This window comes from Homo sapiens, chromosome 16 (assembly GCF_000001405.40).
Source record: "Homo sapiens chromosome 16, GRCh38.p14 Primary Assembly".
NCBI classification, from domain to species: Eukaryota; Metazoa; Chordata; class Mammalia; order Primates; family Hominidae; genus Homo; species Homo sapiens.
In genome coordinates, this window is record NC_000016.10 from 72881419 (window position 1) to 72898534 (window position 17116).

The 17116-nt window shown below is 46.3% G+C and overlaps 1 protein-coding gene across 10 annotated transcripts in view, besides 1 other annotated feature; it reads right to left on the minus strand.

The window, feature by feature from the left end:
* ZFHX3 (zinc finger homeobox 3) overlaps nucleotides 1–17116 on the minus strand; it is a 1109046-nt gene that overhangs the window by 98534 nt on the left and 993396 nt on the right. For all 10 annotated transcript variants that reach the window (NM_001386735.1, XM_047434166.1, NM_001164766.2 and 7 more), the window contains one exon: nucleotides 8313–8544. In NM_001386735.1, the coding sequence (NP_001373664.1) occupies nucleotides 8313–8544 (232 nt within the window). The remainder of the gene's footprint in view (nucleotides 1–8312; nucleotides 8545–17116) is intronic.
* Nucleotides 8478–8978: an enhancer, noted in NCBI's record as "H3K4me1 hESC enhancer chr16:72923795-72924295 (GRCh37/hg19 assembly coordinates)". NCBI's record gives its function as "activates a minimal SCP1, AML or CMV promoter by ChIP-STARR-seq in naive H9 embryonic stem cells {active_cell/tissue: H9 hESC(naive)}" and the evidence as "EXISTENCE:reporter gene assay evidence [ECO:0000049][PMID:30033119]".

Below are 17116 nucleotides of genomic sequence, written 5' to 3' on the forward strand. Positions count from 1 at the left end.
TGGGTCACAGTTTGAAGGGGGTTCCTTAACATCTGTGACTCTGAGAAAAAGCCTTTGAGCTATTTCTGTACGCAGAGAGATAGATGCATGTTCTATTTCCTCCCTGGCCCCTACCAAGGTCGGGAACAAGTTTCATATAGGATGTAAGTAGCCCTAGAAATGGATTCTTTGGACATTCCTAAAGACGGTACAGGTACAAATCATTATTTCTCGAGAAACATCCATTCAGGCAGTGGAGAAAGTGTGAACTCCAGAGGCTAGGATAGGGGATCCATATGGGAGGGGTCTGCACACATGGCAGGAGACAGCAGAGGACGGCTGCCACTTCCTGCTACACTGTCGGCTTTAGGAGGTCTCTCCCCTCCAGTGAAATCCAGGGACAGCACCCCCAAATCCAGGGACAGCACCCCCAACTCCCAGCCCAGCACAAACACCCACTGACTGGCTAGCTATCCATATTCACTTTAGGGTGGAGTTTCAGATTTTCAAGTTTCTTGGATACACCTTTCGAAGGTGACTTGGGATGTTTCGAAATAAAGGTTTCACAGAAAGAACACTTGGTATGACATGATGTCCTGTGGCTCCCTTGGGGGTCCCCATGTCACTGGGCTCTGATGAGCCAACGGGGGTCTCTGGCATACTCACACCCCTAAAAAGAGGACCCCCGCCCAATGCTCACCCCTCAACAAATGCAAACACACCCATATACTGTCTCTCCTAATTCCAGGAACCATCAGCAGGTACCCCTTTTTCCTTTTTTTTTTTTTTTTTTTGCTGTGCCAAAAAAAACCCTCTCTGCAGTGAGTGGCCACAGTATCAATGCTTCTCCCAGTGGGCAGCGTTGGGCACGTGCTGCCACCCACTCATGAAGATAGCATGGAAGACAGCCTGGAGCCCTTGACCAAGAACAACACTAACCAGAAGGGCAGTGTACAGCTGGTGCCACGTGTCATATGCTGAAACAACACGCACAAAACCCTGGTAGCTTCATCATCCCAGAAAAATAACGCAACGAATGAATGGTGGATCTAGAACATCAAAGAATGAGTGAATACGAATCACTGCAACTCAGGCCACTGCGGCCAGGTCTAGATAACTGCTGAAAAGGTGCAAGTCCTGGAACAGCCAGCCAGGACACAGGAGGCTGGGTACGAGGCTGCACGCTCAACCCACTGCCCACCTGACCATCCTGGTGATGCCACACCTTCTCCAGGGGGACCTTCCAGGGCAGCAGCGTCTGACAGCAGTGAAACAGCACTGCATATGTCCACCTTCCAGCAGACCAGATCATTAGCATATTTTGCAGAGAGCAAGCAGAAAAGTTTAATTGCCCTTAATTACTCAGTTCAACAAGGCTCCTAGATAATGGCTCTCAGATTTCTTGCCTGGTATCGACGTAATTTCCCTGACTCTGGCTTCATTATATCCCTAACTTAGAAGCAATAGCGTCTCCAAGATGGCTTTCCAGAACAGACACTGAAGTGCCAGTGAGGCTGGGCAGTCGCTACAAAGGTTTCTTCTATGAGGAGTCAGATTTTTGGCCTTCACACCACTCTGGGGTGTGTGTGTGTGTGTGTGTGTGTGTGTGTGTGTGTGTGTGTGTGTGTGTGTGTGTGTGTGTGTGTGTGTGTGTGTAGCGGGTAGTGGGGAGGACACACTAGCATATACTTAGGATGGACTAAGACAAGGAATATGTAATCAGAAGCCATCACAATTACAAATGTAAATGAACAGGCAATTGGCACTGACCTTTGCAGATTGTTAGAGGACTAATTAAGGCAAATCAAGAACTCTGTTCCAACAGAAAAACAAGACAGTATACACCCTGAGAACTACTCCTATCCTCTCTATGTAAATGCAAAATGCAGGAGAATCACAGAGTAATCAAACTACGAATATTGGCAAATAAAAAACATCTCCATGAACAAAAGACAACCAAGATTTACTTCTTCGTAGCCTGTTAGTGATTCTGCTAAAATCTCTATCAACAAGCACCACCACCATTCTGAGCCCTTGCCACACATCTGACATTCTGTTAGAGTCCATATAAATACATCCCACCGCCAAAACAGCCAGAGACACCAGTCACTAACTCCTTGCTTGAATATTTTAAAAGCTGTAAGAAAAATACTTACAAAAAGGAATCAACCTATGTTATCCTGTAAACTCCATTTTTCATTTAACAACATTATGTTCTCTTTTCATGTTCATACATAATGACCTCTCTTTACCCTTGCATTGTAAAGCATCTTTCTAAAAAGCTTGCTGAAATTTACAATCCCTGTCCAAACAGTCCTTCATCAGGGAATGTCCTTTAGACAGATAAAGTCATGTTTTCCCCATGCCTCCATCAATGCTTAAAATTTCAGTCACCCCCATTTGTTTTGATGCACTTTTACATTTAACTTCTCTAGTTAAAAATACTTTAAGTTCCTATACCTTCCCCAAACCCGGTAAACAAGACATACAGTAAAAAGGAAAGGAGAAAGAGCGTGGGTGTGCTGATTTTATAAAAACAATATTTCAGAAATTCAGAGCTGGCCACAACATATTTTAGTGCTATCAGAAAAATTACACTGAAATTGCATATAATTTAGCTATTTACAAAAAAAAAAAAAGATGTACTTTATATTTAGAGGGCAGCCTTACACCAACTTTGCAAAATAAAAACAAAATCAAGTGAGAAAGCTGAAGACAGTATATATTCTTGGTCTCTTAACTCTTAAGCTGTATACATTAAGCACAACACCCTGAAACTTGGTTTAAAAAGTGATTCATCAAATGAGGCCAGTGAGTGTTGCAGTAAAGGCTGTCACCAAAACCACATTATCACTTGGCAAGCTGTGTGCACCTCTCTGGCCCCAGAAATTCGCTACTATGAATGCCAAAGACGTATCTGTAAAGGGAGGATACTGCTTTTTGCTCCAAGCAAAACAAGTCTCTTAAATTCTGAATGATCGTGCACCCTCTGTAAACTGAGTCCGGGTCCAATTATTTCCAATGCCTGAGCTGGTCTAGTCATCAGTGTGTCCATATTGAGAGTGCAGAGGAGATCAGTGATCAGCTATGTTCTCCAACTCATAAAAAGCCTTATATATAATAGGTCGTCAATAAAGAATTGTTGAACTTTAATTACATGCATGTAAAATTTGGAGGTCTATGTCTACATGAAAGAAAAAGTACTTAGGACAAGGCGAGTAAGAGAGAAAACAGGAGGAGGAGAAGGAGAAAGGCCGACAGCAGAAACACAAAGGGCCTGTGTTCTCAAAGCCCAGGGCACTTGATAGAATGAAGTTAACTACAGTTTCACCCAGGAGCCAGAAATGCCTTTTAAATAAGCAAACAGGGAAGCTGATCCTACACATGACCCACCTCTGAGAGCTCTCCATTTTTCAAGAGCTTCTGGTAAACCAGGGAAGCAAATGGCAGATGCCAGCAACTCAGAGCTCTGGCCCAGTGCATTGGCCAGTGATGACGAGTGGTTTCTACCTGTGGGTGGGTAAGTATGAAATGCCGAGACGAAATCCCAACCAATTCCAGAGACTACTTGGTCTTGCAGAAAAAACACTCAAGCCAATAAAAATAAATTGTGGGGATTGGAAGAGGAACCTCACCTGGTTAGTTACTGTCTTTGAGAGATGTATTTCCAAGCCATTTTTAAAACAGGAAGGCCCAGCAGGCTTGTGTGCTTGTGTCTATTGTGGGGTAGGGGTGGAAAAGTGTAACGACAAAGACCATCACACTGAACCAAAGACAATTTACCACAGGACTCGGCCTGCCCACTGACATAAGGGCAGAGCTCCGCCATGGCAGGGCCACATGGGCACAGAAGCCTAACTATTAGCACACAGCTGGCGGCCAAGGCTCTGTCCACTGGTGCAGGGCAGGACTTAGATGTACGTGCCCAACCACGAGGCCTCTCAAGGAGTTACGTAGCCAGTCATGGCAGATATAGATCCTGGCTGCTACCAGAAGATTCTGAAGGGATGGAGGAGACCTTTGCAATTTCTTCTACCTCGACTCCTTCCTCCAGACCCACAGGTTCACATGGGTTGGCAGGCTACATGATGAACTGGACCGACTGGCAAACAAGTGACTTAAGTAACAGGTAAACTGGGAATAGGTATTTTTTGTCATCCACAGGGCAGAAACTATTGCAGAATCATCCACAGGGCAGAAACTATTGCAGAGTTCACCCCTCCTGCCTTAGGAGGAGACATCTAGATACCTGTAGGAGGTGACATGAGACTGGGGATGAGGTCCAGAACTCAGAAAGGACAAGGGGTTATTTCTGAAGGGTTTTGTGTAATATTCTGTGGCATGTGGACAACAGAGGAGAAGAGGAAAGGAGAAGGAATGTCATCACTTAGCAGGATGATGACAGAAAGCCAGAACTTCCAACTCTAGACAGCACAGCCATGGATGGGGAGCTTCTGGTCAGAGTGGGTGGGGCTCCTAAAAGGTGCACCAAGACTTCCTAATGCTCCTGATGCCACAGGATGACATTTCTAGCTGAAAAATCATGTCCTGACCCTTATGTTAAAGAGGACAGAGTTGGGAATAGTCTATAAAGTCGATGTTTACAAAATTTGAAGTTGATCATCTTAAACATCTCAATTCTACCAGGTCCATAATGTCCGTTCTCTTGAAGATATCCTTTCAAGTTTTGAAGAGCCAACCCCTGGGGAGAGGGAAGATACATCTTAAGATGAGTTTTCTTAAAGTGGTTCCTAAAACGGAACCAAGTTCTTGTTAATGTCAATATGAATAAATAATACGTAATACTTTGTCCCTTTTGTCATCAGTTATATGGACCGAACTGGAGCCTGTGTGTGGGAGGGGAGGAGTATGGTGTAGGGAGGGAGTAGGGGAGAGAGCAAAAACATGACTCCAGGTCAAAGCCAATCCCAAAGCATCTTGACATACGGAAGGGAAGTCTATCATCTCCACTGAAGTTGCTCACACACTTCTCGGGGGAAAAACCCCTAGTATGCACTAAATGAGAGGAACCTCGAAGGCACTGGTGCCGGGCTGCATCCACGGAAGCACTACATTCCAAAACAGGGAACTGTTTGTTCCAGGTCACCGACTCTGGGTGAAATGGCAGCTGTACACTGTTTAGTGTGGGGCACCTCATTAATACAAAAGGAATTCTGAGCAGAGTAAAAGAAAGAATTGAAGGGTGAAATGGACCAGCTTTTAACAGATGATTAAAACAATGATGTATGCAGAGCTGGCCAAAAAAACACCCCAAACAAAGCACAAACCCTGAGCAAGAAACAGGTCTAGGTGTGTTGGTAGAAAGAAGGAGAATCCGGGGAATGACTCAACAGTGCACTAATGCAGAGCAGCGGATCAAACAGAGGCCACAATCCCTGGGTGGGGCACAGGCTCCCCTACAGCCAGATGGCCCAGGGGCCTCAGCCTCAGGCCCATCCTCGTCCCTTACTCCTGAGAGTGCTCCCATGTAGACGGATGGGATCAGAGGCAAAGCAGAAGCTCCACCAATTAAGGTGTTTCAACTTTAACCAGAAGAGGCATTTGAAAAACACATGGAAGGGACAGTCTTGCAGTGACCTTCAAGTGACAAAAATTATCCCGGTACCCAACAGCCCTTTCCTGAACAAACAATTTCTACTGACTGTCGAAACCTCAACCACTCTAGCAAGGAGAAAAATTCTTGAATTGTGGTCTATCCCATCATTTGGGAATTGCTGTTTCATTTATATGAGGAGGCAGCGAAGGAGCAGTCAGATGATCCAGAGAGGAGCAGGTGGGCAGAGGGCTTTGGAGGGGCTTAGGAGGGACGCCTCCAGGAGGAAATGAAGCTGACAGAAAAACTGATAGAGCAGAGCGTTCAGAGATTAGGAAATGTCTACTTCTGGCAGAGTAAGGTTCGCCATGAATTAATCATAGGTACCTAGAAAACCAGAGAAAACAATAAGTTGTACAAGAAGGTAAATGAAATTATAAAACTCTACATGGCTCAGCTGCGATTAATATTTATAGTTATAATAATGAAAACACTGAATATTAATATAACCCCCAATTATTATTTAATCATAATGGAAGGTGGAGGGAGGAAGGACTGAGTGTGGAGGGAGCTGGGGAGTGGGAGGGAGTCCAACTGTTGTGTGGGGGGTGCAGGAGTGTGCGGGGCAGTGCCTGTGTATTTGTGGGTAGAGTGAGGGTGCGTGTGGGATGCATGTCAGTGTGTGTGGGGTGTGTGGGGGTACAGTGTCTATGTGTTTATGATGCTTGCATGTGGGGGGTGCAGTGTATGTGGGGGAGGTGCACGCAGATGGGGCGTGTGGGTGTAGTATATGGCTTGTGTGGGTGTGTGAGTGTATACAGGGGGTGTGTGTGTGTACAACGTATGTGGGTATGGTGTCTTGTCTGTGGGCTGTGTATGTGAGCGTGGATGGAATGTGTAGGATGCAGAGAAAGTGTATGTGTGTGCGCGCACGTGCGAGAACGTGTATGAGGTATCGGGCTGGTGTGTGTGCCGTCTGCGTGAGTCTGTGGTTGGGGTATGGGTGTAGGTGTGTACACGGGTGGGTTTGTGGAACAGCACACTGGTGAAATTCTCATCTGCCCAGGTAGAAAGCCAAGAGGTAACATCTAAAACTTAAAAACAAGAAACAGTCGTAGAAGTATGAGAAGAAACATGGAAATAAGTAACAAAAGAAATATCTGAAAGTTGAAAGCTGATCCCCTGGAAAAGGGGGTGGGAGAGGGCCATGCTCTTCTCCATAAAGTTTATGTAACTTTTTGCCTTTAAAAAATATAAAAATGTGTAATTTGATTATATTAAGGTTAAAACTGCACACATCCATGATGGCTGAATGGCTGAGAAGGCACTGCAGGAGACTGTAGGATCAGGAGTGGCCTTGGGTCTCTGGCTTGGCCAGGCCGTTAGACAAGCTGCCATTAAGAAGAAAAAGAAGTGTGGCAGAGAAAGTGGTGAGCCAGGTGCCCAAGAGGTGGGACCAATGAGATGTCCACGAAGCTCAGCATCTGGGAGGTGGGACCAGTGGTGTCCAGGAAGCTGTACAAAGGCATTTGGCAGCACCAGGACACAAAAGCTCAAGAGGCTGGGAGCCGAGGACCAGGCCACAGTGCCCTGTGCCCAGGGACATGGGGCAGGCTGAGAACCACCAGCCAGAGTCAGGCTTGCAGAACTATCAAGGGAAGTCAGAGGACAAGAGAAAAACACCCCGGAAGCCAAGGGAAGGCAAGGGAAGGGGAAGGGAGCTTCAAGAAAGGGCTGGGCAACAATTTCAAACATTGCAGAAAGAAAACAGTCAGGCCCAGCAGGTCCTGGGCTGTGTCAATCAAAGATCAGCAGCGCCCTCCCAAGAGTGGCTTGGTGACAGAGGAAATGGGTTGTAGGAGGTTGAGACATGGAATAGAGGTGAGCAGTTCACAGGGTTCTCTCAAGAATCTGGAAGATTCTGTTGTAGAGACAGTGTGGGGCCTAGGATGAAAGGAGAGCTTTTCTTGGAAAGTTTTGGTTTCTAAAGAGGTAAGTGACTGTCTTGTGTGTCTAAGTGGAGAGCAAGAGACTGGAAAATTGAAAAAATAGAAAAGAGGAGGTGATTCTACCCAATGAAGTCCCTATGGAAGGCGGAGTCATGGGTGGAGGGAGGGAGGGAGGTGGGGAAAAAGGTGGCTGCAGGGAGATGACATGGGGAGGTAGAAACGAGGCAAGCTCCCACTAGCAGGTCTCGACGCATTGAAGCAGCAAGCAGCATGGACCCAAGAAACACCCAGAATCACTCCCAAATACAACTGAAATTTTTATAACAAGCACTTATTTTATTCCTCTCTAAAGTTCAGTTTTACAGACCAGACTTTGAGGCCACAAATTGACTACTCTTAATACTGGGCAGGACACACGATGTAGCATCTGCTTTGTCAATTTGAACCAATAAATTGAATCTAAAGTATGTACTGGAGGAATCTTAGAATAGAGGAGAGTATCTTCTGTTGGCCTGCTCCCTGGGTAGTAGCTTGTGACTTCCCTAAGACTGAGCCTTGCTCCAAGAAAAGTGCTGCCAATTTCCTTTAAAAAAAAAAAAAAAAAAGAAGAAGAAGAAGAAAGAAAAGAAAAGAAAAAAAGACAGAAAGGCGGGCAGGCAACAATCCCTGCATGTTCCTTCCAAAACACAATGCTCACCTGTGAAGTCAGTAAGGAACATGAGGACCAGCTGGATCAGTAACGTCTCCCTCAAACAGAAGTCCTCTGGAGGTCTCAAGGAGGTGAACACCCAGGCCCAACCTGGGCCTCCCATGCCTGTGAGACCACTCACCTGGGTCCGTGGAGGGGCACCTGCGGATGGTGAAGATCTGCCCCAGGTCCTCGTCCTCCTCTGGAAGGCCCTTCTGCAGCCGCTGCAGCTTTCGCAGGCTCTCGCTTCGCTGGTGCTTCATGGAGCGCACATGCTGGATGAGGTTGAGCTTGGCCTTGGTGGAGTAGTTGCACAGAACGCAGTGGTAGTAGCAGCTCTCACCTTCTACACCACTCTCATGCTGCTGCAGGTGCTGCAAGTAACAAAAGAGAAAGACATGCCTTGGGTAAGCCACTCGAAGCGGCCACTGGCATCAGCCCACACCATCCTGGTCACAGCCAGAGGCATGCCTCCAGGGGACACATCTCCACAGCCAAACAGGACAGTCTTTGATATGGTTTGGCTGTGTCCCCGCCCAAAATCTCATCTTGAATTCTAATCTGAACTGTAATCCCCACGTGTTGGGGATAGGACCTTGTGGGAGGTGATTAGAATATGGGGGTGGTTCCCCCATGCTGTTCTTGTGATACTGAGTTCTCATGAGATCTGATAGTTTTATAAGGGGCTTTTCCCTACTTCACTCAGCACTTCTCCTTCCTGCTGCCATGTGAAGAAAGACATGCCTGCTTCCCTTTCTGCCATTATTGTAAGTTTCCTGAGGCCTCCCCACCCCTGCAGAACTGTGAGTCAATTTCTTTCCTTTGTAAATTACCCAGTCCTAGGCAGTTCTTAGTAGCAGCACGGTAATGGACTAATGAGGTCTTCAACTGTGAGATTCCTTAGAGGGTTTTTTTTTTTTTTTCCCCCAGAGTACCCAGCACCCTTCTCTAGCAGTTCTTTGAAAAAACACAGCAAGCTGATACCCATTCCTATCTCCCCCAAATGGCCCCAGCCATGTGGCTTTTCAGAATGTTGATAATCCTGATCACATGGGCCCTCCCAGTGCAACACCGGCTTTCCTGGCACAAGGTTAAAGGTTTCCCCTTTTATTCTCTAAAGTGTCCTGCTCTTGTTAGATCAGGGGTTGGCAAACTATGGCCCACGGGCCAAATTCAACCCACTGCCTGTTTTTGTAAATAAAGTTTTATTGGAACACAGCCACGTCCATTGATTTACATACTGTCTATGGATGTTTTTGAAACATCAGAGTTGAACAGTTATGACAGAGATGGTATAGTCCACAAAGTCTAGATTATTACTATAGAAATGTGCTAAATTATGACAGGAAAAGTTAAGCCAACCCCTGCTTCAGGTAATAGCCTCTGGTCATCCTGCCTGTATGGCACCCTAGGTCAGGAACATGGAGCCGGAGCTGGTATCTGGCTTTTTCACAAGACAACTCCAGTGTTTGTATTTAAAACCACAGTCTACTGGGAGAACCCCAAATTAGGTTTTCACCTAGATTAAAAAATGCCAGAAAAATAAATTTCTCCAGACTAGTTCCCTGTCAATATCTCAAAGTCCCCTGGCTTATCATTGGCCAATATCATTGGTCAGTTGGTGTATCAGATGGTCAGATGGTCCAAATTACGTCCTCTGTTGTACTTAGTAGACACAGTATTGATCCCAGAGCATGGCAGCCTAAGAGCCTCCAGGAGGCAGGCACAGACAGGATTCATGTCTGGGGTATCAGAACAGAAGAGGTCATGATGCAGACAGGTGGCAGACCCCAGGCTTCTGTGGCTAGGAAGACTTAAAGACGACCCAACAACAAAACTCACAATGTTTCTGAGTCTCCTGGGAATGTAATGATAGCTATGGACCCTTTTTGACTAACAGAGAATGAATGTGCACCTGGTGTAGAAAGGCCATCTCCTTCATTCCAATGATTCACTTTAGGGGAAGAGGGAATTCTTCCACTGGGTACACATGAAGCAAGGGAAACACTCCCCAAAAGCTTAAATGACTGACCCAAGGTAACCCAGTTAGTTAGGGGGAGAGAGAGATGTAGAAGCTGAGGCTTGTCTCCTCCAGCCATGTACCCAGCATCCTTTTGAAGGAGGAAATTCAGGTCATGTGAGTGCTTTATGTGCTCCTGTGATTACGTGTCCTTCCTTTTTTCTCCTCACCACCTGTCCCCAACCCCCAGCCCAGTCAGCCAAGCCTGGCCCATGGAGCCATGGCAGGCACACAACAAACGTCTCAGAACTGCCCACGTTGCTTGTCTCCTTTCTGACCCACACTGCTTCTGTCTGATGTTTATGCCAGGATAATGGTTTCTAGTCCTGCTTGGATGTCTCATCCTTGTCCAGCTTAGAATGCAAGACACTGACAAGCTAGAATGGTTAGAATGCCCTGCACTCCACGCAATCCTGAAAATACCAGAGTGGCCCTGTGAGTGCTTCCTATCAAGGGACACTGCCCTGACGCTCACGTACTGACATGCACACGTCCTGTGTTCACTGATCACGTGTGAAAAATCCAGAAGCATGTTTGTACTTTGCTGGAAGAAGAAACATAAATGCACCAACTAAGTGTCACAGAAAACTCATGGGAGGGGGGTTGAAGCCCTCAATGACATAAACTGGCTAAAGTATCCCACAGGAAATCTTGCCAACTTGTACGTAAGAATGGGATGAGCTTCACAGGCACCAAGAAAGAACAATCCCTTCTGCCCCCAAAATGGGTGATTCACACACTCATATGCAGCACCTTGGACAAAGCAAAATTTCTACAACCAGAAAGTATTGGAAGAACCAGTGAGTGCAATGTTACCTATTAGAAAAATTACAACTGGTGATAAAAAGCTACTTTTCTGGAGATAAATTTGAGCTGCTTTTTGTTTACTTTTTATTTATTGGTTTTTTTTTTTTTTTGAGACAGGGTCTCACTCTGTTGCCCATGCTGGAGTGCAAAGGCTTAATCTTGGCTCATTGCAACCTCTGCCTCCTGGATTCAAGCAATTCTCCTGCCTCAGCCTCTTGAGTAGCTGGGACTACAGGCATAAGCCACCACACCTAGCTAATTTTTGTATTTTTAGTAGAGACAGGGTTTCACCATGTTGGCCAGGCTGGTCTCGAACTCCTGACTTCAAGCGATCCACCCGCCTCAGTCTCCTAAAGTAGCTGGGATTATAGGCGTGAGCCACCGCACCTGACCTCTGAGCTGCTTTTAAAAAATGATTTAACCTCACTGCCTTCTCTGTGATGAGGTTCCTTTCAGAGGATGTTGGGAGGATGGGATGCACTGAGGCAGTGCTTTCTGGAGGTTACAATCCTGGGGAGAAGGAAGGCAGAAGTGAAGGGAGAAGATGAGCTAGCCCACGTCCCTTCCCCCAACTACTCCCCGAGGCCCCTCAGAACTCAGAAGCCAGAAACAGGACCAGGATATTCCAGGCAGCAAGAGTTTGTCCTAAAACCGAGGAGCTGGAAACCTGTAAGGGAGCCAAGAACTGCTGTCTTAGGTCACCAGGACCAAAAGAATGATATTCATTAAAGCTTCAACTAAAACTGAGTGAATAAAAGATGGCAGAGACAATAACCATGAAATTCAAAGAAATACGTTCCATCAAGAGATTTTGGAGGTAGAATAAACTATGAAATCAGACCAAGAATCACTAAAGCCTTACCTCCAATCCCCCCACTACCTCCCTATGAAACAGGATTTCCTCACAATAAGGCACTGAATTTCAAACATCAAATTTGAATATGGATGTGTGAGAGTTCTATTCCAAATGGCTGGAGTCTTCAATCTCTGAGCCACAAGAGAGGAATAACATGGCCAGAAGAGTTGGATGGAAATGCGATGTCAAATGTCCAAATCCATGGGCTCTTGGGTCATAGGACCGTATAAACCCTGGATTGAAATAAACATCATACCGGGTACTCACACTTTAAAAAATGGATATGATAAAAGATATTCTAAAATCCACTCCACACTCTAGCTCATGTTGGTAAACTACAATCTCTTACACTGCCATGAATTATTCTGTCTGCCACTTTGAGAGCCATTTTAGCAAGAAACTGGGCATGCATTACAAATAGTGGAGAAAAGAATAAGAGGAAACAAGAAAATGAAGCCACGGCTGCTCCCACCTAACCTGGTCCAGTGAACACCTAGGGTTCTCTCCTAGAAAATTCATGAAAGATTCATTCAAAATTCCAAGCTTGCTTTGTATTCCAAGTTTATTCTCCAAAACACTTAAAAAAATCCAGAATAGGCCGGATGCAGTGGCTCACACCTGTAAACCCAGGACTTTGGGAGGCTGAGGTGGGCACATCACCTGAGGTCAGGAGTTCAAAACCAGCCTGGCCAACATGATGAAACCCCGTCTCTATAAAAATACAAAAATTAGCCAGGCATAATGGTGGGTGCCTGTAGTCCCAGCTACTTGGGAGGCTGAGGCAGGAAAATCGCTTGAACCTGGGAGGCAGAGGTTGCAGTGAGCCACAATAGTGCCACTGCACTCCAGCCTGGGCGACAGAGCAAAACTCTGTCTCAAAAAAAAAAAAAAAAAATCCAGAATAAACTATATCTTGGTTGCCAGGAAACAGCTGTGCATAAACCTAACATCCCAACCCAAACTTCTGCTTGGGTCTACTATGTCTACCTGCATGTGACAAGTCCTGCTCTCCCCAGATTTTCCAAGTGTCTCGTTATTTCTTAAGTTGTCCAACTGGAAGTAAACAGAGACCCAAAGCTAGCAGCAAGGTCCTGACCTCTGTGACCTTCTCCACATCATTCGGCCATTTCCTAGGCCCTGAGCGGCTCAACCCGCGACCCTGTTGGTCAGATCCTCTCTCCCTTCCTCCCAAGTGGCACTGGCCTCATCCCCAGAATCCCACCCTTGGAACCTGCCTAATAAAAAGCAGTGGTAGGGAGTGTGCTAAGAGGCCCATGAGCACTCCACGGGGCCAGTCAGTCAGCCAAGAACATGCCTTCCCCGCAGAAGGGAGTGGATGTTTTCATTTGGAGGAGGAGGGAGAATAATTTGTTCCTGACCCAGCTAATTAGAATACCCTCAATTGGGATCACAATGTATTTAATTAAATTCACTGTAATATATGAAGAATCCACCAAGGCACAAATCCCAGTGGTGCACTCAAGAAAGGAGCTGCCTGCTTTCAGAGTTCTTGCTCTCCTCGCCAGGCAGGAAATTTTTCTCCCACGCAAATCCTGAATTCCCCAACCCCTTCCGCCTCTATCACAGAGTCACCCGCTGGGGAGGAGGGCAACCGGGTTCTGTTTTTACTTTTTCCATTTTCTTTACTCTGTGCTCACAATTCCTACCTACTCTCCTTTGTTGGGTCAGGAGTGTAATTTTAAAAAGAAAACAAAACAACAGCTCCAACTGTGGGCAGTGTGCTGGGATGCATGCCAACCGGGGACCCAAAGAAAACCAGCTGGTGAGCCCATTTGGCGGGGGTTTGTTTCGGTTTGAGTCTAAGTGTCTACAACACGAGACACTGCATGCACGCGCACACACATGTGAGCACACACATGCACACACACTATGCCCAACCCCAGGGACTTAACCTGCAGGTGATGCAGGCAGTGTCAGCAGCAACTCTAAGAAAATAAGGAAGGGTATAATGAGGGCATTCCCCCTTTGGCTTGAATACTGTTTTGAGAATATACTTCCCGGAATACTATAAAACACAGGGGCCTCCTAGCTAACTCAAGAAAATCCAGTATCTCCCCACAAATTACTAATGAGAAAGCGAGACCAACCAGTATCTTGAGGTCATCCTAGCTAACCAAAAAAGAGTGAGAACTCAGGTCTACCCAAACTCACTTGGTTGGGCCAACCTCTCCCTATAACCTTAAATCTGACTATACTTTTCCTTGATCACTCCCACTCCAACTCACTTGCTTGTTTAGAAAGCACCTGGAGGCCAGGCGTGGTGGCTCACGCCTGTAATCCCAACACTGGGAGGCCAAGGAAGGAGGATCACTTGAGCTTAGGAGTTCAAGAGCAGCCTGGGCAACATGGTGAGACCCCGTCTCTATAAAAAGAAATAAAAAATTAGCCAAGTGTGGTGGCACATGCCTGTAGTCTTAACTACTTGGGAGGCTGAGGCAGGAGGATCACTTGATCCCAGGAGGTGGAGGCTGAAGGGAGGTATGATCACACCAGCGTACTCCACCCTGGCTCACAGAGTGAGACCCTGTCTCAGTAAATAGATTAGACAGACTACATAGATAAACAGATAGGTAGATTAGACTAGATAGATAGATAGATAGACGGATAGATAGGTAAAAACAGACAGATAGCACCTGCAAAAGACTGGATCATAAGAACTGCAAAGGTACTGTAGCTTTCACAGAAAGAAACATCTATGCTTGGCAATTGAATTTACTTTCTGAAATCTTGGAGAAGTATGATGAAGGAAGGAAGTATCTAGTTTGAGTCATAAATGGGAGCAGAAAAAGAACCCAACGATCTCCAAGTCCTCCAAATGCTGTGCAGCGGATAACAGACTGTCCTCATCTGGATTAACTGGAAATTTGGCACACGTTCGGGGGTCAACAGCTACGGCTGGAAACGAAGCCAGGGTTCATACGAGGGCTCACTCACGTCAGTCAAAGAGACCTTTTCTTGCACCTCTTCCTAATCCTATTAGGGCTACTCATGTTTTAAAATGTTCATCCCGTCTCAGTTTCGCTGGAAGGGGGACACTCCAATGCTTCTGACACGAAAACATCTCACGGCCCCCATCTGTCTCTGTGCCTTCCCTTCTAGGTCTGGCTCACTGAGAAGAACACAGCAAAGCCCTCCCTGCAACCAGAGGCACCTCGGATAAAGGGGCTGGCGCGTAACACCAAGCACAAAAAGCAAACTAATCATTTTAAAAGAAGGGAGACAACAGAGGCTCCGCTGTGCGACTTTGTGGGATTCTACCCCATTAGTATGTTGTGCTTGTTCAGCCTCGTCAAACACTGAAAGTCAAAGAGACGAAAAGAGGGCTCTTGTTAGAAAATAATGCATCGTGAAAATCAAAAAAACGTGTTCCTGTTACTTGTTTCCCAGGGAAAACTAACCAACTTCTGTCAGAGAACATTGATTTCTATAAATCTGGAGGGGCCCCAGCTCCCTCCTCCTCCCCAACGATAGGAAACTTCTAACATCTGGTTCCTCATGCATGGAATGCAAAATATTGATCAGGTTTTGTCAAAGCCTGCCCTTTAAAGTAGAAACAGACAAAGTACATTCTGACACACACACACAAACATGCACAATTCACAAACAAAGCTTCCTCAGGAGTACCACCTGTTACTACAGACACACCCGTGGCCGCCCTCTCGGCACACTGTGCTGTGCACACAGGCACACACGGCAACTCCATTTCCAGAGCAGCCCCTCTGAGCCAGGGGGCTATTCCAGGAGATGCGAGGTGCTTCCTGCCCAGCAGAGGAGAAACCCCATGGTGGAATGTCCCAGAAAACCCCTGAGACACCTGTCAGGCCAAAGGCAGGCAGGAGAGCCTGTCTGTAACTCTTCTCAGTCCATTGAACTGGAGGCCCCATGATGGAAGAAGCTGCCCGTTACAGCACCCCTGTCCAGGGAAAGACAGCAACCACAGCACGCAACAGCTTCAGCTTCTCGCTTCAGGGAGAGGACTATGTAATCTCACTAACAAACCTGGTGAGAGGGATGGGGAGAAGATGGGGACCAGTAAGTCTGCTAATTCCTCAACTTGATAAGATGAAGTAGGAAGACATAGCGGGTGTTCATTCACCATCATATGCATGCAGAGCATTTACTGTGGGTGCGGCATCTACACACATACTTTTTTTCTTTTTTGTCTGAGAAAGGGTCTCACTCTATCATCCAGGATGGAGTGCAGTGGTGCGATCATGGCTTACTACAGCCTCAACCTCCCCAGGCTGAGGTGATCCTCCCACCTCAGCTTCCTGAGTAGCTGGGACTATAGGTGCGTGCCATCATGCCTGGCTAATTTTTAAATTTTTTGTAGAGACAGAGTCTGACCAATTTGCCCAGGCTGGTCTCAAACTCCTGGGCTCAAAGAATCCTCCCACTTCAGCCTCCCAAAGTGCTAGGATTATAGATGTAAGTCACCGCACCCAGCCTACACACACTTTTAAATTTTCACATTACAACCCCATGAGGTGGGTCACATTTGGTTTTCATCCTTGGAGGAGCCCAAAGCTCAAAGAAGCCACATGACTCCTGCAAGGTCACACAGAGCATGGAGGAAACAGGACCAGAGCCTGAGACTTGAGTCCAAGTACCAAGTCCACAGCCGCCAAGCTACGCTGCACAGACTGCAGGGGGTTCTGGAACATGAGACTCTGCAGACCCAGGTGTTCACCTTGAATGCCTAAAATTAAAAAGAAAATCCTTCCAGGGGTAACGCAACCAGGAGTGGGGGAGGTTAATTTTTTAATCAGTCAGATCGCGTTATAGTTCCAAATGTAATGTCACATTTTTAGGAAGACTCCTGGAAGGTCAACCTAAATATATATGTATATTCTGTTCAATGCTGGCTTTTTATCTGCTCAAGCTCTCGTCCTTGACGCATGCTAATTTAGTTCTATTTCATTGTAGGATCCCTGCAGACACCATAAGATAGAAGCCCCAACCATGATTTATAAGAAAAAAGTAAAAGGAAGTAAAAATGTTCCCTTAGATCAATCCATTTGGGTTGCTCTGACCTAGTTTCTGGTTTCTAGGCCAGGCTCCTTAGGCCGTGGAACAAGCCATGATTGCTCACTCTCCGTATCCAAGGCCAGAGCGGAGACTTCCCGTTCCTCTATCTTTTCCCTTGCACGAATCACATTTCCTGATTCAAAATTCTCAACATTAGTGGCCTTGAGAAAAACAGTTAAGTTCTAGAAGGAAAATAACTAAGTCTATAGCTGTC